Genomic DNA, 24996 nt, shown 5'->3' on the forward strand with positions numbered 1-24996 from the left:
GCCACTTTTACAGATCAAAAACAATTATCAGCAGTTTATTGTGGTTCAACCTTTTATTTATAAATTAATGACCTACATGTACTAATGAACTAATATTGATGTATATTTGATGTATATATATAAAATACATCCAAAGTGAGAAACTAAATAAGGCTGAGCCTCAAAATGAATATAAATCAAAGGCCTAATCTTTTCTTCCCACCCCCACCCAGCCATCCTGTGTGCCCTCTTCCCCTTGGAGGCCACTGCCCTAAGTGAGGATCAGCATCGACTCCACCACAGCCCACTTTAGTGGTGACAACTTTTAATCCACGGAAGCAGTTTTTCAAAGTGAAAACTGTTTCAAATCACGAAGCTTACCACTTAGACAATTCAGACAAGGTAATGCTCATTTAGACTGACACAGGTATGAAAATTCCAATCCCTTCTTTTCACTATCATTGTATCTGACACACACATCACCTTCCTAGGCACTATGACACTATCCTGGGAGAAGCAAATGTGTACAAAGAAGCACAATCCTGCTCTCTCCCCACACTTCACATAAACCAGTATAGTCCCCCTGTAGTCAAGGCTTCAGATGTCAATTTTCTGTTGGAGACAGCGTCTTGCTACGTTACTCAGGCTGAAGTGCAGTGGCCATTCACAGAAATGATCATAGCATACTGTAGCCTTGAACTTCTGGCTTCAAGCGATCCTGCTGCCTCTAAGCCTCCCAAGCAGCTGGGACTAAAGGTGCATATCACCATGCCCAGCTTGATGTGAATTTTTAAGCAATAATGCCTCATTAGGCCGGGTGCAGTGGCTCACGCCTGTAATCCTAGCACTTTGGGAGGCTGAGGCAGGTGGATTACGAAGTCAGGAGTTTGAGTCCAGCCTGGCCAATATGGTGAAACCCGGTCTCTATTGAAAATAAAAAAAAACTAGCTGGGTGTGGTAGCACGCGCCTGTAGTCTCAGCTACTCGAGAGGCTGAGGCGGAATAATTGCTTGAACCCTGGAGGCGGAGGTAGCAGTGAGCCAAGATTGTGCCACTGCACTCCAGCCTGGACGACAGAGCAAGACTCTGTCTCAAAAAAATAAATAAATAAAATAATGCCTCATTAATTTGGAGTAAGGTTGGGGGGCATAGAAGACAGAATAAATGCAAAAACTAAGTCACAGAGTGTTTCAAGCTTAGGCTCTTTAACTTTCAAGCTTAGACTATTTATCGCTCATTTTAATTATCTTCTTTACTGCACAGGTCAAGATGTCAAGAATACTCTATATTGCCAGGTGCCAGGGCTCATGCCTGTAATCCCAGCACTTTGGGAGGCTGAGGTGGGTGGATTACCTGAGGTCAGGAGTTCGAGACCAGCCTGCCCATCATGGCAAAACCCCATCTCCACTAAAAATACAAAACTTAGATGGGCATGGTGGTGCATGCCTGTAGTCCCAGCTACTGGGGAGGCTGAGGCAGGAGAATTGCTTGATACCTATAATCCCAGCACTTTGGGAGGCCAAGGCAGAAGGACTGCTTGAGGCCAGGAGGACTGCTTGAGGCCAGCCTGGGCAACATAGCAAGAAGCCATCATTACAAAATAAAAATGTTTTAAATTAGCTGGGAATGGTGGCATGCACCTATAGTCCCAGGTACTAGTAAGGCTGAAGCAGGAAGATGGCTTGACCCCAGAAGTTCGAGGCTGCACTGAGCTTTGATCAGGCCGCTGCACTCCAGCCTGGGTGACAGAGCAAGATCCTGTCAATAAATAAATAAATAAATAAATAAATAAATAAAATATATAAATACTTAAATAATCTTTTTAAGAGCAGTACTATTCTGTCTCCAGCAATGTCAAACTATGAGAGTCAAAAATATTTTAAGGTCTGCTGTGTGCTTTCCTCAGAGGGAAGGAAACTAGGCATCCCACTGCAGTTTCATAAATACGTAAATAATCTTTTTAAGAGCAGTACTATTCTTTCTTTTTTTTTTTTTTTTTGACAGAGTCTCGCTCTGTCGCCCAGGCTGCTGGAGTGCAGTGGCGCAACAGAGCAGTACTATTCCATCTCTAGCAATCTCAAACTGTTAAGAGTCAAAAATATTTTTTTTTTTTGAGATGGAGTCTCGCTCTGTCGCCCAGGCTGGAGTGCAGTGGCACTATCTCAGCTCACTGTAAGCTCCGCCTCCCAGGTTCATGCCATTCTCCTGCCTCAGCCTCCCGAGTAGCTGGGACTACCGGCACCCGCCACCACGCTCAGCTAATTTTTTGCATTTTTAGTAGAGATGGGGTTTCACTGTGTTCGCCAGGATGGTCTCGATCTCCTGACCTCGTGATCCGCCCGCTTCGGCCTCCCAAAGTGCTGGGATTACAGGTGTGAGCCACCGCACCCAGCCCAAGAGTCAAAAATATTTTAAGGTCTGCTGTGTGCTTTCCCCAAAAGGAAGGAAACTGTAGGCATCCCACTCCTCCCTCCCAGCAAAGGAGACCAACAGACAAAAAATACAGAATGCTTCTAGGATTTTTTTTTTTAAGGAATAATCTAAATATAAGAAACTATTTCCTTAAAAATCCTGACACTGGAGTTCTGCTACCAAAGACACAGTCAAAGATCTAAATAGCCAGAGTCAAAAAAAAAAAAAAAAAAAAACCCACAAAAGTTTATTTGAGAACAAGAGTGAAAGCTTTTGCACATCTGACAAGGTAGACTTGTTTTACAGTAGATGCCATCCATATTCAGCCCTACCAATACTATCACAAATGAAACATACTATTTCTTACAAAGATATAGGCATAAGTCAAGGACTATGACTAACTAGAGTGAAAGGAAAGGTTAGACCCCAAATCTTATCCCTTAGACCAATCATAACATAGGATGTAAATTAAACCATTCAGTCTTCTAATGTAGTGGTTCTCAACCTGGCTTCTTATCAGAATCCCAGGAACTCTTTTAAAGAAATTCCCAATAACTAGGCTGTACCCCAGTCTCTAGGGATGGGATCCAGGCATGAGTATTTTAAAGCTTCTCAGGTGATTCCAATGTGCAGCCAGACCCTGTCGCAAGTTCACCACAGCACTAGAGGCAGGTAACGATTACTAGCAGATTCCTCAGCCCCAACAAGCCCTCCAAGAAAGGGAGACCTGGTGGGCAACACTGGCTCTCACTGATGCTATCCTTTCACTCCACTTAAGAACGACATAAGTTATCACTTTTGGTATAATTTTGAGACTTTCCATATGCCATGGTGATTTTTAGAGCAATATTTAATCAGGTGAATACCAGCAAAGAGAGAAAATACAGAAAAAGAAATTTCCATAAGGCATGATATGAATAAATAAGTGAAAAAACAATCTCGGGTTTAAAAGTAAAGCATGAGAATTTGAAGCCTGTGAAATTTTATTTATACAAAAGAATAAAAAGTTATTTAAAAAGAACTGATTTAAACTTATGTTTTTCCATTTTTCCTGTTCCTTGAACATGAATCTACTACCAACTCAGAAAGATTTAAGATAGGTAATTACTAAACACTCTTTACCTCCCCTTGCAAAAAACAGAGGCAAGTTTCCCATTTTACTTATGATAAACCAGATTATTTTCAGTTATGAATATTGGCAACTGCATGAAAGAGATGATCAGATATGTCAGCAGGAAAGTATGAGCTGTACAAAGGCATTACAAAAAAACCCCAAAGAAAATAAGATAAAAACAACAAGAGAAAAACAAGAAAACATAAAACAATATAAGAAAATGCCAGATATTTACAGCCTCCATCTGAAATGTGACTTGTGTTCTACTTTCAGCATAAAACAAAACCAGAGAACATTTCTTGAAGGGTATCACAGATGAAGCTGGTGCCAGCCAGTTTTGGGGGAGACATTCATTCTAAGAAGGGAGAAACGCACAGTTAGCAACTTGCTGGGATTACAACATTGTCTTCATCTTCCTGCAGTTCTGTTACTAAAAATGACATAAAGTAAGACCCAATGTCTTACAGAAATGACTTGTTTGTCACCACATTTAGAACAAACTACTCAAAGTCACAGGCACTGGGTCTGGGAGAGCAGAGGTGGATGGCCACGAACTCAGGTGAAGGATGTTTATCTTTGTGAGGTCAGAGAAGGGAAGCAGGGCTCTACAGCCTGGAAGCTTCTGCACTAATGTGTCTTCTAATAGTCCTAAAGAAAGAAAAACAAAAGTCCCAACTTACTCTCGGCAGAACAGTTGTTTGACCCTAAAGGAAAAAAAAAATCTCATAAACAACTCTACTAGGGGACTGCTCTATAGCTAAAGATTATATTTCAGGCCAGGCACAGTGGCTCACACCTGTAATCCCAGCACTTTGGGAAGCCGAGGCAGGGAGATCACGAGGTCAGGAGTTCGAGACCAGCCTGGCCAGCATAGTGAAACCCCGTCTCTACTAAAAATACAAAACATTGGCCAGACATGGTGGTGGGCACCTGTAATTCCAGCTACTCAGGAGGCTGAGGTGGGAGAATCGCTTGAACCTGGAAGGCGGAGGTTGCAGTGAGCCAAGATCGCGCCATTGCACTCCAGCCTGGGTGACAAGAGTGAAACTCTGTTTCAAAAAAAAAAAAAAAAAAAAAGATTGTATTTCAGGCCAGGCGTGGTGGCTCAGGCCTATAATCCCAGCACTTAGGGAGGCCCAGGCGGGCAGATCACTTGAGGTCAGGAGCTCGAGACCAGCCTGGGTAACAAATTAAGACCATGTCTCTACAAAAAACACAAAAATTAGCCAGGTGTGGTGGCTCATGCCTGTGGTCTCAGCTACCCAGGAGTCTGAGGTGGGAGGACGGCTTGAGCCTGGGAGGCAGAGGTTGCAGTGAGCCAAGATCACACCATTGCACTCTAGCCTGGGTGACAGAGCCAGACCCTGTCACACACACAAAAAAAAAATTTAAAAAAAGATTCTATTCCAAATATAATGTACAATATTTCACATCTGAAAATGGTCTGCCTTCTGAGTCCATAAAGGGATTGAAACATCAATTTTGCTCTTATTAGAGCACCTGAATTCACCAGTCCAAAAAAAAAAAGAGCTAGTATTAACAATTTATTATTTAATTAAAGGGAATTTTTCATCATTAAAAATGTATGTGACCGGCCGGGTGCGGTGGCTCACGCCTGTAATCCCAGCACTTTGGGAGGCTGAGGCGGGTGGATCACGAGGTCAGGAGTTTGAGACCAGCATGACCAACATGGTGAAACCCTGTCTCTACTAAAATACAAAAACTAGCTGGGCATGGTGGCACGCACTGTAATCCCAGCTACTCAGGAGGCTGAAGCAGGAGAATCACTTGAACCTGGGAGGCGGAGGTTGCAGTGAGCCAAGATTGCACCACTGCACTCCAGCCTGGGCAACAGAGCAAGACTCCGTCTCAAAAAATAAATAAATAAATAAATAAATAAATAAATAAATAAATAAATAAAGTATGTGACCTCTTTCTCTCCTTAAAATACAAAAACCATAGGCCAGGCACGTTGGCTCACACCTGTAATCCCAACACTTTGGGAGGCTGGGGTAGGAGGATTGCTTAAGTCCAGGAGTTCCAGACTGGACATCATGGTGAAACCCCATATCTACAAAAAATACAAAAATTAGCCAGGCAAGGTGGCATGTACCTGTATTCCCAGCTACTCGGGAGGCCAAGCACAGGAGGTCAAGGCCACAGTGAACTGTGACTGTGATGATACTGCACTCTAGCCTAGGTGAAAGAGCAAGAAACTGTCTCTCAAAAAAAAAAAACAAAAAACAAAAAAAAAAAAAAACAAAAAAACCACCTAAAAGTTGAAGTATATCCAGATGGACACCCCAGACTTTAAATCAAGAGTTATGACTCCAGGTTAGGAACACTCAAGCTCTGAAGACAAATACATTTTTCTAATCATCTACAAAATTGCCAGCCTCTCTGAAGTGGTCCGGCTGATACTTACAGCTCGTGGTTTTTTGTTTAACTTCAGATCAATCCTGTGACAGAAAAGATAAAAGATATTTCCATTTTAATTTACAGAAAATGGGTCCCACAATCAGCTACTGCATAGGGCATAAGCTATAACAAAGACTATTTGGTTAAGAAAAATCCACATTCTTCATTAGACTATGTCATATTTAGTTGTTTACCCAGATATTATCAAGCAAGTATTAAAAATTATGAGCACACATTTTTGCCCTAAGGCAAACTTAGCTGACTCTAAAAAGAAATGTATACAGCAGCTACAAAAGCCATATAATTTTAAAACAATTCCAAAACTACATGTTAAAAAGACTGAAGTAAGAGGGCATGCTCTATGTTAATGTGTTAGTTCTGTAACTATATCACTGAAAATTACTGAGACACATGGTGATTAACAACAGGAAAGAGACTAGGAGTTTGTATTTCTGAACACGAAACACAAAATAAATTAAATTAATTTCAATTTTTAAATCTTTCCAAAGCAAAATATCAAGATCTTAAGCTATTATTCTCCTTATGAAGCAAAGCCAGAAAATCAATTTAAATATGAGTTAAAGTAAAGGTTATCTATTTTAAAAGAAATTAAAATGCATAAAAGTGAAGTTTACTTAATTTTGCTTAAGTTATTAAATAAAATGTTACCTCCATCACGTTTTTCTGTTTTTAAAAAAAACTTCCCAGCCTAACCTAATATACATACCTACAATTAAACAGATAAACTATGGGTTAGAAAGGTCTCAAAAAGGCATACTGGTGTCTACACACTAAACACAGCACAAATACTAATTCAAATCAAACTTACTCAAAGTCATAATCAAACATGCCAGACGGGCTGAGGGGCAGCATTTGAAAGGAAGAAAGCAATAGAAATTAATATACTAATTGAATAAATTAGTCGATTAGCCACCCTAGCAAGAATTGTAGAAACAAAATCAGCTTTAAGAATCTTAAGCAACAAAGTATCAAACATCAAAGCACCAAAGATTTTGTGGTCAGAAGATTCCCTTCCTTCAATGGATTTCATATCAGAAGACTAGACTATGAAAGAAAAAGTTATTTCATTAGAAAACTCAGACACCTGGAGCCCTTTTATTAGCTGCCAAATTCGGAGTTAGAACTTTTAAAATATTTAATTGTATTGAAAAATATAATTAGGGCATTAGAAGAAACAGAGAAAGAAAGGTTTAGTTATATAATGAAAGGCACTTTGAAGAGAGTGCTAACAACTCAGCATAATATACTTTCACTAAAATAAAAAACTACAACACAGTCTAAACTTTAAAAAAGGAAAACATTTCACAAATTTTTACTCAAGTTATATGGGTTTGTTTGTTTGTTTGTTTGTTTGTTTGAAACGGAGTCTCGCTCTGGCACCCAGGCTGGAGTGCAGGGGCGGCGATCTTGGCTCACTGCAAGCTCTGCCTCCCGGGTTCACGCCATTCTCCTGCCTCAGCCTCCCTCAAGTTATATGTTCTAAACATGTCCAGGGAACACCATGCTCCTTTTCTACAGCATTCATCCTAAAAGCCCAAAGTTGAATGAATAAACTTCAGTGGTGGAACCTTGTTCCAGAAAATGAAGAACAGTATTGCTCTGCCACCTAAGTAGGTGATGGCAATTAACTGTCTATATCAGGGCTATAATTAAGAAACACAAAAGTCTGCAGCACCCGTATTTATTTATTTATTTATTTATTTATTTTTTGAGACAGAGTTTTGCTCTTGTCACCCAGGCTGGAGTGCAATGGCGCAATCTTGGCTCACTGTAACCTCCGCCTCCTGGGTTCAAACGATTCTCCTGTCTCAGCCTCCCTAGCAGCTGGGATTACAGGCGCCTGCCACTAGGTCCAGCTAATTTTTGTATTTTTAGTAGAGACAGGGTTTCACCATGTTGGCCAAGCTGGTCTCGAACTCCTGACCTCAGGTGATCCATCTGCCTCGGCCCCCTAAAGTGCTGGGATTACAGGCATGAGCCACTGCACCCAGCCTGCAGCACCCCTATTAAAACAAGGGAAAGCTGCCATCCACAAGCACCCAAGTCTCAGGGATCTGGAAGGAGCAGTACAGAGAAGGAGACCATTTTGTGCCATCACCACTAGCAGGCCATGATCTGGGCAGGCCTCCAAAGCAAACATTAACCTGGAGCATGACACCTGCTCCTTCACCGGCTCCAACACCTTCCAGACTAAAACAATAAGCAAATGGCTACATTTAGGTGCTAAAACAATATGCAAATGGCTACATTTCCTCCTAGACAATGTTTGCAAGAGTAAAGCTGGAAGAAAGCTTAATGTCAATATCTCTCACAAAATAGTTTCACTTTAGACATTTGGGAGAGTATACAGTAGGTGTATGAAACTAGGAATTATCAAATATTTCACTTTCAGCCTGACTTGACTTTGTTCACAAATCAAAATAGACTGTATCTAGTTAATCAAAACTTTACAGACTATCTAAAGTAATTTTTTATAGTAACAGAAACTTATAAGAGTAGCTATGTTATTTTTTATTATTATTATTATTATTATTATTATTATTATTACTATTACTGAGACAGGGTCTTCCTCTGTCACCCAGGATGAAGTGCAGTAGCTCACTGAAGCTTCAACCTCCTGGGCTCAAGCAATCCTCCAGCCTCATCTCATCTTTCCAAGTAGCTGAGACTACAGGCATGCCATCACGTCCAGTTAATTACTGTGTTTTTTTGTAGAGACGGGAGTCTCGCCATGTTGCCCCCGGCTGGTCTCGAACTCCTAGACTCAAGTGATCCCTCCACCTCAGCCTCCCAAATTGCTGGAATTACAGGTATGAGCCACAGCACCTGGCCACTATATGGTATTATTTCAACTTTTTCTTTAAAGATACCAGGAATGACATACTGTTCAGGTATCATGTAAAATATAAGAATTCAGAACAATGTGATCACTTATGGATGCTAAAAATTATTTGATAAATTTTTATATTCTGGCGGGGTGTGGTGTGGTTCATGCCTGTAAACCCAGCACTTTGGGAGGCCGAGGCAGGAGGATCAAGCCTAGGAGTTCAAGACCAGCCTGTGCAGCATGGCAAAACCCCATCTCTACAAAACAATACAGAAACTAGCTAGGCATGGTGGCACATGCCTGTACTCCCAGCTACTTAGGAGGATGAGGTGGGAGGATTGCCTGAGCCCAGGAGGTCAAAGCTGCAATGACCCATGATCTCACCACTGCACTCCAGCCTGGGCAATCCAGCAAGACCTTGTTTCAAGAAAAAAAAAAATTTCATATTCCTGAAGAGGGCAAATTCAAGTTATTTCCTTTTGCTTAAGTGCCATATTTATTTCCACCTTTGCTCACCACTAAACAGTGTCTGGCACACAGTAAGTACTCAAACATTTGCTGAAATAATTTATTATTGACTCATCTCACTATATGGGGTATGGCACACTGGAGGATAAACATGTACTATACTGGGTACAAACTTAACAATGTACATAGACACCATGCTCTGTCCCCACCCCAATCTGCCAGCCCTACTGAGATATCAGTCAGCAGTAGTAAGGGACTTGGAGCAGACACAATTCCTGACTAAAGATGGCAGGAGTCCAAGAGCCTTAACTGACCGCTCGTGTGCCATTCAGGCACACTGAATTTTGCTTCCCTAGAAAGGAAACAAATCAGCTTCACTCTCCTTTCTTGGGGCAGATGAGTGCCTAAGGCCAAGGGAGATCAGCCAGATATTAAATCAGAGGGAAGACAAAAGGACAGCAATAAAAAGCAGGATTCTGCTTTCCAAACAGAAAACACTATTTGCGAAGCAGTAACTAATATCGAAGATTTTTACAACTACTACTATTTTTCTGGAAGGAGATAGCTCCTAGGATAGGAAGAAGTATTGTTCCTATGGAAATGTGCTAGAAACTTGCAAGAAGAAAATGAAGTTTAGCTCCTCTTTAACTCCTTTTTATCAGTCACCAGCTAATAACATCATTAGTGGAAATGAAGAACTACCTGAAATAAACAGCTATCTACAGACTATTAATCAGTAATGGGAAAAAGTCCCCGAAACTTTCAAAGAGTTTCCTCCCTACTCTAGACACTATGAAATAAGAAAATAATCACTACTTTAAAATGACACTAGGCCAGACACCGTGGCTCATGCCAGTAATCCCAGCACTTTGGGAGGCCGAGGCAGGTGGATCACCTGAGGCCAGTAGTTCACACCAACACAGTGAAACGTGTCTCTACTAAAAATACAAAAATTAGCTGGGCACAGTGGTGCACGCCTGTAATCCCAGCTACTCAGGAGGCTGAGGCAGGAGAATCGTTTGAACCCAGGAAGCAGAGGCTGCAGGGGCTGAGATCGTGCCACTGCACTCCAGCCTGGGTGACAGAGCAAGACTGTCTGAAAAAAATAAAAAATTAAAAAAAAATGACACTGGAGTAAATTTAATAAAAGCAATACAGAGCATGACATTTAATTATCTTGACAATTAAAAAAATTTTTAAGAATATATTTCTCTGTTATTCGTGATAAGCTAGCACCAGTCTTACTACAGTTGGTCAAATAACCTATAGCCTTTCAAAAATATATGAAGAGGTAGATATACAATTTTTGCTAATTCTTACTACAGTTATGCGATTAGGATGGTGACTTCTGGTTTGCAGAAAAATGTTAAGCAGCAGTCCTCAGTCATTATTTGAAGGAAATACTATTTCTGCAGTCTAGAAAACACCATTACCATCAACAAGAAAAACTCTTAAAATAATTGAAGAACCAGCTGACGCCAATCAAGGAGGTTCAAATCAGGTAGAGTTAATCCTACATTACCCCCAGGCACTGTCATATCCATGAAGCTAACAAGTTTAATACCTTGGGTGCATGAAGGAATACCCTACAGATTTGTAAACCAAATCCAGAAGCAAACTGGAGAACAGGGAATGCCACCCATCCCTTGCATTGCCCCCTTTCACCTGCTCAGCACGCAGTCTTCCAGGAGGAGTAGAACGAATGTACAGTTTCTAGAATGAGAACTCTTACCCTGGCTTCGGAACTTCTAGGAGGCATGGAAACAGGTATGTATAGGGTCTCCATTTCTCCTGGAAGGCTTGAGGCCAGCAAAACTCCTTACTCTAGAAACCGGACATTATACTCTTTAGGTCAAGCTGCATAATTTCCAATTATCTGAGTTAACAATCCCCAGCATGATCATACAAACCCCAGGCAGAGTGAATGCTGAAACCCTCTCTGGGTGACACCTGGCCTCTCTGTCCACTGACGTCATTCCTATCTCATTATGTACTGCAAAAAAACATGGTGCACCAATGTTACACGTTACCTATGAAGACACTCTCATATTTTACAGGCTTTATACTGTTCCTCCAGTATCTGAAGTCAGCATATTGCTGAGAAATACAGAAACAGAAAAATCACAAGCAATAAAAAAAACTTGTATTTAAAGAGAAAAAAAGGCATGTCAAATCAGTTCTCTCCATCCACAAAGAAATAAGAGTAGGCAAAGATCAGAATTACCAGCAGAAGACTTTATCCCACTTTACAGCTTCCCAATAAGTACCAGTGGCATTTTTCAAATACTATTACACAGATTCCATTTCTATTTCTCCTTTTCCTCTTCTAAAAGTATTCCATATTCACCATATGAAACAAGGTTTTTATGGAATAAAACTATTCTACACTAGAAACAGTGAGAAGAATGTCCTGGAGTCTTCCTTGAGGGTTACTCTAATGCCCACCAATTCCTCCCTTTGAGCAAATTAGCCCGTTCACTTGGACCTAATGACTTTCTTGCCATCAGCAACAGAAAGAGTCTGCAGCAATCCTAAAGAGTTTTTATTCTAGGCAATTCCCTTCACAGCAATGGTCATGGGAGCTGCGGGGGTGGGATCCCTGCCACTGACCTGTGCCGGTTTTTATTCTTTCGCTTTTTATGGCTGCTGTGGTGACTCCCTGAGGAAGTAGAAGAAGCAGCCTTCTGAGGTTTCACTCCCTGCACAGATCCATCCAGATCCTCAGGGTCCTCCTGGCTGGGCTCATTTTCCTGATTGTGGAAGTCTGGAGAAGTGTCACTTTCCGTCCCACTTCCTGGCTCCCCTGAAGGAAATAAAACACAAGTTTCCAAATGCATCATCAGTACTCCTCAGGCAATCTGTCCATCAACATGAACACTAATAGGTAGAAAAAAACCATTCCCTATCCTCTAATTGACAGAGAAGATACATGTTGACAGAGAAGATACATGTTGACAGAGAAGATACATACAAAGGATCCAAGTGACCAAAGGTCCTGAAAAAGCATGTAATCTGAAACAATGTAACCAGAGAGAACAGCTCTAAGGGCAGTTTTTGTTTTTATAGAGATGAGAGTCTGGCTGTGTTGTCCAAGCTGGTCTTGAACACTTGGCCTCAAACCATCCTCCTGCCTCAGCCTCCCAGAGCACTGGGATCACAGGCATGAGATACTGTGCCTGATCTATAGTCTTAAAAATATATATGTTTACACAAGTTGTTATTGAGTTTGCTTTTATTAAATGTAATCTACAGTGATGTACAAAAAAAACTACAGTGACTGTACAAAAAAAAAGGGGGGGCCAAAGAGGGAGAAGACAGCCCATTCCTGAATTACTCTGATAAGTTTTCCATTGTTTTTTCTTGTTTTTTTTTTGTTTGTTTGTTTAACCTTTAAGCTCTGTTGAACTTGAACCTCGTAAGTCTTTTTTTTTTTTTTTTTTTTAAGACAGGGTCTCACTCTGTCACCTAGGCTGGAGTGCAGTGGTGGAATCTCTGTTCACAGCAGCCTTCAGTTCCTGGGCTCAGATGATCCTTACACCTCAGCCTCCCAAGTAGCTGGGACTGCAGGTGCCCATAAGCATAAGCCCTGCTAATTTTTCTATTTTTTGTAGAGATGTGGTTTTGCCATGTTGCCCAGGCTGGTCTTGAACTCCTAGGCTCAAGAGATCCACCTGCCTCAGCCTTCCAAAGTGCTGAGATTACAGGCATGAGCCACCACACCCAGCCTGGTAAGTTTTATTTTATTTCATTTTATTTCGAGACAAGATCTCACTCTGTCACCCAGGCTAGAGTGCACTGGTGTGAACTGGTGTGATCATAGCTCATGGCAGCCTCAAACTCCTGGGTTCAAATTATCCTCCCATCTCAGCCTCCCCAGTAGCTGGAACTACCGGCACATGCCACCACACTTGGATACTTTTTTTTTTAAAGATGGGGTCTTACTATGTTGCCCAGGCTGGTCTCAAACTCCTGGGCTTAAGCAGTCCTCCTGCTTCAACCTCCCAAACTGCTGAGATTACAGGCATGAGCCACGCATTCTGCTAAGAATACTTTTAAAATGCAGTAATAATCTTCAGCTGACACATATTCTCAATTTTAAAACATCACTGTAGATTACCTTAATAAAAGCAAGCTCAATAACAACTTGTATAAACATATATATTTTTAAGACTATAGATTAGGCACAGTATCTCATGCCTGCAATCCCAGTGCTCTGGGAGGCTGAGGCAGGAGGATGGCTTGAGGCCAAATGTTCAAGACCAGCTTGGACAACACAGCCAGACCCTCATCTCTATAAAAACAAAAATTAAAAATTAGCCAGACATGGTGGCACATGCCTGGAGTCTCAGCTGTTCAGGAAGCTGAGGTGGGAGGATCACTTCAGCCCATAAGTTTGAGGCTGCAGTGAGCTATGATCTTACCACTGCAATGCACTCTAGCCTGGGCAACAGAGCAAGACTGTCTCAAAAAAAAAAAAAAAAAAAAAAAGGCTGCACACAGTGGCTCATGCCTGTAATCCCAGCACTTTGGGAGGCCGAGGTGGGTGGATCACCTGAGGTCAGGAGTTCAAGACCAGCCTGGTCAGCACGGCAAAACCTCATCTCTACTAACACAAAAATTAACCAGGTGTGGCGGCAGGCGCCTGTAATCCCAGCTATTCAAGGCTGAGGCAGGGAGAATTGCTTGAACCCAGGAAGTGGAGATTGCATGAGCCAAGATTGCATAAGCCGAGATCGCTCTGGGTGACAGAACGAGACTCCATCTCAAAAAAAAGAATATAGTTATTGGTATGGTTTGGCTCTGTGTCCCTACCTAAATCTCAACTCGAATTGTAATCCTCACATGTTGAGGGAGAGAGCTGGTGGGAGGTGACTGGATCATGGGGGTGGTTTTCCCCATGCTATTCCTGTGATAGTGAGGGAGTTCTCACAAGAACTGATGGTTTTAGAAGTGTTTAGAAGTTCTTCCTTCATGCGTGTTCTCTCTCCTACTGCCTTGTGAAGAAGGTGCTTGCTTCCCCTTCACCTTCCTCCATGATTGTAAGTTTCCTGAGGCCTCCCCAGCCATGTAGAACTGTGAGTCAATTAAACATCTTTCCTTTATAAATTACCCAGTCTCAGATATTTCTTTATAGCAGTGTGAAAACAGATTAATACAGGTATATTTGTATTTCCTTTATATATATACTTATTTTTCCTGAAAGGAATTTCTTTAAACTTTTAATAGGTAAGGATGAGTGAGGGAAGACTTTCACTTTACTCAACTGTTGAAGGATCCTAAATATATACATTATCTGGCCGAGCACAGTGGCTCATGTCTGTAATCCCAGCACTCTGGAAAGCCGACACAAGTGGATCATCTGAGGTCAGGAGTCGGAGACCAGCCTGGCCAACATGGTAAGACCCCACCTCTACTAAAAATACAAAAAATTAGCCGGGCATGGTGGTGAGCACTTGTAATCCCAGCTACTTGGGAGGCTGAGACAGAAGAATCACTTGAACCCGGGAGGTGGAGGTTGCAGTGAGCCAAGATGGCGCCACTGCACTCCAGCCTGGGCAACAAGAGCAAGACTCCATCTCAAAAAAAAAAAAAAAAAAAAATTTATATACACACACACACACACACACACACACATTATCTATTTCTAAAACTTGTCAAAAAAGGTCATGTGGTAGCAGAACCAAGGGACCAGTTTTCTTCTTTTTTGAGACAGAGTCTTGCTGTGTCACGCCCAGGCTGGAGTACAGTGGCGCGATCTTGGCTCACTGCCATCTCCACCTCCCTGGTTCAAACGGTTCCCCTGCCTCAGCCTCCCAAGTAACTGGGATTACAGGCACCCACCACCATGCCCGGCTCATTTTTGTATTTTTAGTAAAGACGGGGTTTTGCCATGTTGGCCAGGCTAGTCTCAAACTCCTGACCTCAGGTGATCCACCCACCTTGGGCTCCCAAAGTTCTGGGATTATAGGCATGAGCCACCGTATCTGGCCCAGTTTTCTTCTTTCTATGGTCTTCATATTATAATCTGCTAGGAAGAGAATTTAAATTGAGTAGCATACGGGTACAAGAAGTAAAGGAAAGAGACAGTTCCAAAAAAGCAGAAGAGAGAAATAGCCAAATCTCAGAAAACATGAAACCCTAATTTGAACACATTTTAGGAAAGCAACAGAAAAGGAAACTCTAGAGCAAGCATGTCCCACCCAAGGCCCATGGGCCGCAAGCAGCCCAGGACGGCTTTGAATATGGCCCAACACAAATTTGTAAACTTTCTTAAAACACTGTGAGATTTTTTTGTGATTTTTTGTTCTTAGCTCATCAGCTATAGTGTTAGTATATTTTATGTGTGGCCCTAGAAAATTCTTCTTCCAATGTGGCCCAGAGAAACCAAAAGATTGGACTCCCTGCCTAGAGCTATGAAGCTATTATACAAAAAGTATACTGGCCAATACTGCCCTTCTGATGTTCAAGAAAACTGATTTCACACTAAAAAAACAACATGCTACACAAAGCTGCAGTAATCAACACTGTGTGGTACTGGTATCAACGTATAAATCAGGGGACTAGAATTCAGAGTCCCAGGATGAACCCTTATATTTACAGTCAACTGATTTTCAACAAGGGTGACAAGACAATTCAATGAAGAAAGAAAGTCTTTTCAACAAATGGTGCTGGAACAACTAGATATTCACATGCAAAACAATGAAGCTGTACCCCCATCTCACAACATACACAAAAATTAACTCAAAATGGATCACAGACATAAATGTAAGAGCTAAAACTAAAAATCTTAGATGCCTGGCCGGGCGCAGTGGCTCAAGCCTGTAATCCCAGCACTTTGGGAGGCCAAGGTGGGCGGATCACGAGGTCAGGAGTTCAAGACCAGCCTGGCTAACAGAGTGAAACCCATTCTCTACTAAAAATACAAAAATTAGCTGGGCATGGTGGCGCGTGCCTGTCGTCCCAGCTACTCGAGAGGCTGAGGCAAGAGAATCTCTTGAACCCAGGAGGTGGAGGTTGTGGTGAGCCAAGATAGTGCCACTGCACTCCAGCCTGGGCAATAAAGCGAGACTCCGTCTCAAAAAAAAAAAAACTTAGATGCCACTAGGTTAGGCAATGGTTTCTCAGATATGACCAAAAAAGAAAATCTAACAAAAACAAATATATAAATTGGACTATAATTTTTTTAATTTTTATTTTTTTGAGATAGGGTCTTACTGTCGCCCAGGCTAGAGTACAGAGCAGTGGCACAATCACTGCAGCCTTGACCTCCTGGGTTCAAGTGATCCTTCTCCCTCAGCCTCCTGAATCACTGGGGCTACAGGTGTGTGCCACCACGTCCAGCTACTTTTGTTTTGTTTTGTTTTGTTTTTGGTAGAGATAGGGTCCACTATGTTCCCTAGTCTGGTCTTGAACTCCAGGGCTCAAGAGATCCTCTCACCTCGGCCTCCCAAAGTGCTGGAATTTTAAGTGTGAGCCATCTCGCCAGCCTTTTCAGGTTTTTGTTTTGTTTTGTTTTGACAAGGTCTCACTCTGTCACTCAGGCTGGAGTGTCATGGCTCACTACAGCCTTGAACTCCTGGGCTCAAGCAATCCTCCCATCTCAGCCTCCTGAGTAGCTGGGACTATTGGCTTCCCAAAAGTATGAGCCAGCCACTGCACTCAGCCAAAAATCTTTAATACATAAGTGTTTGTCTTAGCCAAGCTTCTGAAAGCAGTAACTTGAGTCTTTCCCTGACAAGTACCTGGGTGCAGCTTATTCTTGCAGGTAGACAGGTAAACAGCCATATACTGAATGATCAGCTAAGCCAGGGCAAGATTACAGGCTCATGTGAAAACTAAGTCAGGGCCGGGCCCTGTGGCTCACGCCTGTAATCCCAGCAATTTGGGAGGCAAAGGCAGATGGATCACCTGAGGTCAGGAGTTCAAGATCAGCCTGGCCAACATTGTGAGACCCCATCTCTGCCAATAATACAAAAATTAGCTGGGCATGGTGATGCACACCTGTAATCCCAGCTACTTGGGAGGCTGAGGCAGGAGAATTGCTTGAACTTGGGAGGCGGAGGTGGCAGTGAGCCGAGATCACGCCATTGCACTCCAGCCTGGGTAACAAAAGCAAAACTCTGCCTCAAAAAAAAAAAAAAGAAAGAAAACTAAGTCAGATATCATTCCATCTCAACTCACAGGAGTGAGGTCCAGGGTGTTCCTTAACCAGTTTAGCTCTACATTCTAGAGTGGCATTAATTAAAAAGAAGTAAGATTTAAAAAAAAAAAAAAAAGATTTAGTGGAGAGTCATAGTAAAAGAAAAATCAAAAGGACTTGGTATAATTGATGAGGCTGGCAGAAAGGAGTCAAAGACGTCTACAGAGTTCTGAATAAGGGAGAAGTGAAGTACCATCACAAAAAATCTGTGAAGACAAATTCTGAAGGAAACAGAACAATTCTGTTTTAGATCAAATATTTGAGTGATTATGAGTGGAAATGTCTAGAAGGAAATGCAGGATTCAGGCCGGGCGCAGTGGCTCATGCCTGTAATCCCAGCACTTTGGGAGGCCCCTAGAAAGCGGAGGTTGCAGTGAGTCAAAATCGTGCCACTGCACTCCAGCCTAGGCAACAGAGCGAGACTCCGTCTTAAAAAAAAAAAAAAAGACGAAATGCAGAAGTAAAGCCAGGAAAGAGGTTAAGGGCAGAGAAACAAATTTAGAAATCTGTACATAGAGATAATAATTAAATACTTCTAATTCCCAAACTACTAAAATCCCTTTTCCTCATATCATTGTACCAATGCCAACAAAAGAACTAGATCCAACAACAAGATATACCTTCTGAAAGAAGTACACAGTAATACCGAGAACAGGTCGTATTTCAAGGTGATGAAATACACAGAGAGAACATCCAATATGGTTACACTGAGTCTGACTCAGAAAGATAAATGCACAAATCTATAACCCATCCCTGGAAATTAGACTGTATGGCTTATGTATAAAAAATAAGATATAATTCGTTTACAGAGTAAATAGCACTATTTTCCATTTTATACTTAAGAACATACAGGTACATCCTATTTACAGGATGAGCATTTCTTTTTTTTTTTTTTTTTTTTTTTTTTGGCATGGTCTCACTTTGTCACCCAGGCTGGAGCAGTGACACGATCATGGCTCATTGCAGCCTCAACTTCCTGGGCTAAAGTGATCCTCTCACCTCAGCCTCTCTAATAGCTGGGACTACAGGCATATGCCACCAAGCCTGGCTAATTTTTTAATTTTTTGTAGAGACAGAGTCTTGCTTTGTTGACTAGGCTGGTCTTGAACTTGAACTTGTGGGCTCAAGCAATCCTCCCACCTCTCCATTCCAAAGTGCAGGGATTACAGGTGTGAGCCACTGCACTGGGCCAAGATGAACATTTTCTAAGAATTATTAAATTGGGTACATGGGGATTTATAAGATATATTTGAAATTTTCCATAAAAGTTATTGTTTTAACTTTAATTCCCTAAGAATTTATAAGATTTATCAGTAATGAAATATATCTTTGTCTCTTTGAGATGCTAAAGCCAATCTTCATGTGACAGAAGAGGCAAGAAGAGTACAGTAATTTCTTCCTCAAAAGGAAAAAATACGATTGTTCACAAATGGTGGCTCACACCTCTACTCCCAACACTTTGGGAGGCTCAAGTGGGAGGATTATTTGATGCCAGGAATTATGGACTAGCCTGGGCAACATAGTGAGACTCTGTCTCTTTAAAAAATTTAAAAATTAGCCAGGTGTGGTGACAGATGCCTGTGGTCCTAGCTACTTGGGAGGCCGAGGCAGGAGGACTGCTTGAGCCTAGGAGTTTGAGGCTGCAGCGAACTATGATCATGCCACTGTACTCCAGCTTGGGCTATAGTGAGACCTTGTCTGGGTCGGGGAGTGGAGAAAAACATGATTAAGGATACCCTAAAAGTTTCAAAACTTCCAGGAAGAAGAGGGAAAAGGGAAGAGCATAAGAAATGCAGTCCTCAGATACACAATTGGATGAATTAAGTGTAAGGGTGATGGTAGCTTAAAAATAAACTGATGAGAAACATAAAAACATCAACTTACTCTTTTCAATGAGCTGGTCCTGAACTCCTGCCAATGCACTTACTGCCTAAAAGAAAAGCCACCAGTTACTAGAAAAGTGACCACAGACCTCAGAAGAGCACTCCCAGAGGAAGGTAAAGAAAAAACACATTCCCCAACAACAGGCCAAAGAAAGATTCCCCCACCACCACTACTTACAGCTGCTGAGGTAACCGAGGATTTACTGAAGAGCCGCTCAGCTTCCTTAAACTTCCGGTTCCTTCGATCATTTTTGCTATTGGAGTTTCTAAAACACAGAAGAAACTCATTATGAGCACCAAGCTATGTCTATGGCTCAAGCTGGGGATGCCCCAGGACTCATGTTCCATGCAGGAAGCTTCCATGTCACTCAGACTGGCCCAAACGACCTTTATGCTGAACACAGAAAGCAACGTTTTCCAATATATGGTACATGTCCCACTGTGAGACATGAGATTTAGTTGCTTCACATGTTCATTTTTTAAATTTATTTATTTATTTACTTATTTATTTATTTATTGAGACGGAGTCTTGCTCTGTCGCCTACGCTGGAGTGCAATGGCAGAATCTCAGCTCATTGCAACCTCTGCCCCTTGGGTTGAAGCGATTCTCCTGCCTCAGCCTCCCAAGTAGCCAGGATTACAGGTGCCCACCACCATACCTGGCAAATTTTTGTATTTTTAGTAGAGACGGGGTTTTGCCATGTTGGTCAGGCTGGTCTTGAACTCCTGACCTCAGGTGATCTACCCACATCAGCCTCCTAAAATGCTGGGATTACAGGCATGAGCCACCGCGCCCAGACATTTTTTTTTTTTTTTTTTGAGACGCAGTCTCGCCCTGTCACCCAGGCTGCAGTACAATGGGAAATCTCAGCTCGCTGCAACCTCTACCTCCCAGGTTCAGACGATTCTCCTGCCTCAGCCTCCAGAGTAGCCTGGGATTACAGGCACGTGCCACCACACCCAGCTAATTCTTTTTTTGTATCTTTAGTAGAGACGGGATTTCACCAAATTGGCCTGGCTGGTCTCGAACTCCTGACCTCATGATCTGCCCACCTCAGCCTACCAAAGTGCTGGGATTACAGGCATGAGCCACTGCACCTAGCCATTTTTTTTTTTTTTTTTTTTTTGAGAGTCTCACTCTGTCTCCCAGACTGGAGTGCAGTGGTGCGATCCAGGGTCACTGCAATCTCCACCTTCTGCGTTCAAGTGATTATCCTGCCTCAGCCTCTGAAGTAGCTGGGACTACAGGCGCACCCCACCATGCCCGGCTAATTTTTGTATTTTTAGTAGAGACAGGGTTTCACCATATTGGCCAGGCTGGTCTCAAACTCCAGACCTCAAGTGATACACTCACCTTGGCCTTCCAAAGTGCTGGGATTACAGGTGTGAGCCACTGTGCCTGGCCACACTTTCATTTTAATACGTATCTATTTTACCTTATTTACTTATTTATATATTTTTTTGAGACGGAGTTTCACTCTTGTTGCCCAGGCTGGACTGCAATGGCGCGAGCTCGGCTCACTGCAACCTCTGCCTCCCGAGTTCAAGCGATTCTCCTGCCTCAGCCTCCCAAGTAGCTGGGATTACAGGCATGTGCCACCACGTCCGGCTAATTTTGTACTTTTAGTAGAGACAGTTTCTCCATGTTGGTCAGGCTAGTCTTGAACTCCCAACCTCAGGTGATCCACTCGCCTCGGCCTCCCAAAGTGCTGAGATTACAGGCGTGAGCCACTATGCCCGGCCAATATATATTTATTTTAATGCTTATTATTTAAAAAGTGGAGAACAGATTAGTGATATGAAGTGTCTCTTAAATAAACTTAATTCTCAAATTTAAAGAAAGAACCAGGGTTCCTTAGAGGAATGGCTGATACCAGGTCTGGGACAAAAAATGCAAAAGGTAAGTATGGGACATCTCTTAGGCCAGAAAGCAATGGAGTACTCCAAAAGTAATAGGGTCATGTTGAAACGACAAACAAGCCAGCTTGAGGAGGCTCCCTCTGACCACAGCTGGGACAAATGTGGGAGAATGAAAGAAACAGAAGTCAAAAAAGGAAGACTCTTTTTCAGAATGCCAGTAATAAATATAAAGGGAATAATACAATTAGAGAATCACTATTTTACAACTTCCAGTGTACTAACGGATTCAGATAAGAATCAACGGTGTATACTAAACAACTGAATACAAATTTAGAGGGAGCAGTATATTCATAATGTCTCAAAGCATAACATCCAAAATTACTTGTTAATCACAATGGGAAAAAATGAACTTTTATAGCAGATAAATCATATGATCAAACTTAGCAGCAACAAATAATAGGACAATGTGACATTATGTGCCTCCTGATAAACTAGAGATAGATAACAAAGGATACACCAATTGCCTATGTAAGATTTTTGCAAAAATGTTTAAAGGATCTTTCAGGACCCTTTTAATCAGTCATGAGTTTTGCCCTCAGAAAATCTCAGGAAACTGCAACATTCTACAAGGCAATGTCATGAATACCACCACAACCACCACCAAAAGGGTGACTCTCCTCAATCTTAAGACATAATAGCCAAATGCATGCATGAATGCTTACTGAATCCTGGATCAAAACAAATTAGCAAAGAATTTTTGGGGACAATTGAGGAAATTTTAATAAAGACTATGTATTAGATACTATTAATGCAGTATTGATTTTCTAGGTATAATAACTGGTTAGGTAGAAGAAATGGCCCTATACTCAGGAGGTAATTACTGACACATTTAGGTGCAAAGTGTCATTTACCTGCATCTAACTTTCAAACCGTTAAGTGGGAAAAAAAGGTAGGGGGACTGGGAGATATAACTACAAAGGAGTGGCATGAGGAAGATCTTTGTGGTAATGGAATAGTTCAGTAACTTCATTGTGGTTACATGAATCTACACACAAGATAAAGTGACACAGAACTATATATATACATTGTACCAATGTCAATTTTCTGGCTTTGATACTGTATTATAGCTACATAAAACACAACCATTGGGGAAAACCAGATGAAGGGTACAAGAGACCATTCTGCCAACTCCCTATGAATCTATAATTATTTCACAATTTAAAAATGTGAAATGTAAATATAGATGTGTGCTTATATTAATATATATTATAGAAAGTAAGAGAAAGCAAATGTCACAACACATTAACAATTTGTGAATATAGGTAGGAGGGTATCAAGTGTTCATATACTATTCTTCCCATTTTCCTATAATTTGAAGATTTTCTAAAAGTTTAGAAATTTTTTAAAAATAATATTACTAAGTAAGCAGTGGTACAGCTGGCACACAGGTATGGCAAAAATTGTGAGGGTCAGTTGGGCGTGGTGGCTCACCCCTTTAATTCCAACACTTTGAGAAGCTGAGGCAGGAGGACTGCTTGAAACCAGGAGTTCCAGGCCTGCCTGAGCAACAAAGTGAGATCCCACTTCTACAAAAAAAAGTTTTTAATTAGTCAGGTACAGTATGGTGTGCCTGTAGTCCCAGCTAATTGGGAGGCTGAGGTGGGAGGATCACTTCAGCCCAGGAGTCTGAGGCTGCAGTGAGCTAAGTTCGTGCTACTGCACTCCAGCCTGGACAACAGCGTGAGACCCTGTCTCTTAGAAAAAAGAAAAGTGGCCAGGCGTGGTGGCTCACACCTGTAATCCCAACACTTTGGGAGGCCAAGGCAGCAGATCACCTGAGGTCAGGAGTTCGAGACCAGCCAGGCCAACATGGAGAAACCTCGTCTCTACTAAAAATAAAAAAATTAGCCAGGCATGGTGGCACGCACCTGTAATCCCAGCTACTCAGGAGGAAAAAGAAAAAAAGAAAAGAAAAATACTGTGAGGGTAGAACTCATGACTGATTAAAATGTGTAAAAAATTTAATAGAATGCTATTGTATAAAGATACTGTATTTAAGCCTCACACAACCCTGTGCCATAGGCCCAACTTTCGCTATTTTACAGATGTGAGCCTTGTCTAAGATTATTCGGTGAGGCAGTGCCTGAGCCAGAGTCCAAGAGTTCAAGTCCAGATCACACCACTACTTTACTACTGCCTCCAGCAAAGTTGCCACTAAGAGCATACAGTCCTAAAAACAAACGTTACTAGGGCACAATAGGAACACTACAGGCTTTCGACACTCACTTTTGGTTGGTCAGATACCGATCCCAGCCACGAATAATATTGCCATACATCTGAGTGTCTTCCAGGTAGCTTCCCTCAAAAGCATAGATCTGTCGCTCCAAATTTGCCAATGTTTCCTGAGAGATGAAAAACAAGGACATGAATGATACCTTTTAAATGCAAACACTTAAGTCTGGCCAAAATGAAATCCTGATATTAGACTCGTAAACGCAAGCTTGCCCACACTAAACCACCCTGTGGAGAGATGGAAGATACGGGGAGGAGGAGCCGTTTAGGACTAAGACAGTCTAGACCTTTGGGGGTGATGGACCCCTGAATGTATAAAGCATGTCTCCAGAAAAATACACACACACGCGAAATTTTGCATATACTTTAGAGGATTCACGGAAACCATGAGTCAAGAGCCCAGGCTAACGCAGAACTTGGGCGATGTCCACTCCCACGCACAAAAGGTATCGCTACCAGGAGAGGGAAAGGTGAGCAGCCTTTCAGCGTCAACTCGCTCCCCTCCCCGCAGGCTCAAGAGAGGCCGCCGACACCGGGCTGCCAGTTGCTATGGAAACCTAGAAGGGCAGCTTCAGGTGAGAGGGGCCTCCCGGGTGCCCAAGCCGAGACGCGGGGGCAGGAAGAGCTTAGCCACCAGAGTGCATTGGGCCTTGGGTGCCTGTCACAATTCTGAATTCTCCGGAATGTGTTCTTCTCCCTCGCCTGTCACCTTCTAGATGTTCCCAAACACATCACAACCCTGTCTATCAAAAACCTCCATTCAACGGATCTACTCCCAGTACCAAAAAGAACACGCTCCCCACCAGCCTCCAAAGTCCAGACGGGGTGACTGGGTCCCCCTCCCACACTAGCCTCCTTCCCCACCCCCTCCCCGCAAAGATCACGGACTAGCCCGCCTCGCCCACCCCCGCGGCTCACTGACGCTCGCCCTTCCTAGCGCCCTCTCCCCGGGCCCCGGCACCGTCCTCCCTCCACGCCCCCTCCTGCGGCTGCCGCTTCCCCTCCCCCTCCCGCGCTCCCGGCTCTCTCCCGGCTCCGGATTCGCACAGCCGGGAAGCTGAACCGCCGGCGGGCCGCAGAATGCGCACCCGGCCTCAGGCCGCCGAGCACCCGGCCCGCCGCGCCGCGCCCCCGGAGTAACAAACGGCCTAGCGCGGCCGGGCTTGGGGCCTGGAGGCGGGGCGGGCGCGGAGCCCCATGCCGTGCAACCCCTGTCCTAGCCCCTCACCGCCAGCTCCTGCTTCCGCTTCACGAGCTCCGCCAGCTCCCGCCGGGTGTCCGGGATCTGCGGCGGCGCCGCCTTGTTGTGCATCGCCATGTTGGGCTGAGGCGGGCGGCGGCGGCGCGAGGTTGGGGGCGGTCCCTGCGCCGCCAGGGGGCGCCCCCCCGCTCTGCGCCTGCGCGCGCGGCTTCCGGAGACGCGTGCAGCGCCGTGCCGAGCTTCGCTAAGGCCGGGGCTCTCGAAGGTCCTTCTCGGAGAGCTCTAGAGATGCGGCTTCTGCTTTCTGCCGTTTCCTGCCCC

At 43.1% G+C, this 24996-nt stretch overlaps 1 protein-coding gene and 1 non-coding gene across 9 annotated transcripts, besides 1 other annotated feature; both read right to left on the bottom strand.

Annotated features, from left to right (window-relative positions):
* Window positions 1–38: 38 nt before the first annotated feature.
* MEAF6 (MYST/Esa1 associated factor 6) lies at window positions 39–24812 on the bottom strand. Of its 8 annotated transcripts, none has more exons than NR_073090.3 (9): window positions 24703–24812; window positions 23469–23584; window positions 19501–19588; window positions 19324–19369; window positions 11850–12042; window positions 6753–6782; window positions 6593–6650; window positions 5931–5964; window positions 39–4153 (listed from the first exon to the last, which is right to left on the bottom strand). NR_073090.3 is itself a non-coding variant. In NM_022756.7 (8 exons), exons 1-8 carry the CDS (start codon window positions 24790–24792, stop codon window positions 4145–4147), a joined length of 606 nt encoding a protein of 201 aa, NP_073593.2. In that variant the 5' UTR covers window positions 24793–24812; the 3' UTR covers window positions 39–4144. The 8 variants fall into 8 exon arrangements, 5 of the variants coding, with proteins under 5 accessions (NP_073593.2, NP_001257804.1, NP_001257805.1 ...); NR_073092.3 differs by lacking the exon at window positions 6593–6650 and adding an exon at window positions 15179–15267; NR_073091.3 differs by lacking the exon at window positions 6753–6782.
* On the bottom strand, window positions 10981–11040 carry MIR5581 (microRNA 5581). The gene has a single exon (NR_049844.1). It is a non-coding gene; the product is annotated as a microRNA 5581 (primary transcript).
* Window positions 24397–24996: a silencer, noted in NCBI's record as "silent region_672". NCBI's record gives its function as "represses an Ori minimal core promoter by ATAC-STARR-seq in GM12878 lymphoblastoid cells {active_cell/tissue: GM12878}" and the evidence as "EXISTENCE:reporter gene assay evidence [ECO:0000049][PMID:35858748]".

The sequence above is a fragment of the Homo sapiens genome, chromosome 1 (genome assembly GCF_000001405.40).
Source record: "Homo sapiens chromosome 1, GRCh38.p14 Primary Assembly".
Classification (NCBI taxonomy): Eukaryota; Metazoa; Chordata; class Mammalia; order Primates; family Hominidae; genus Homo; species Homo sapiens.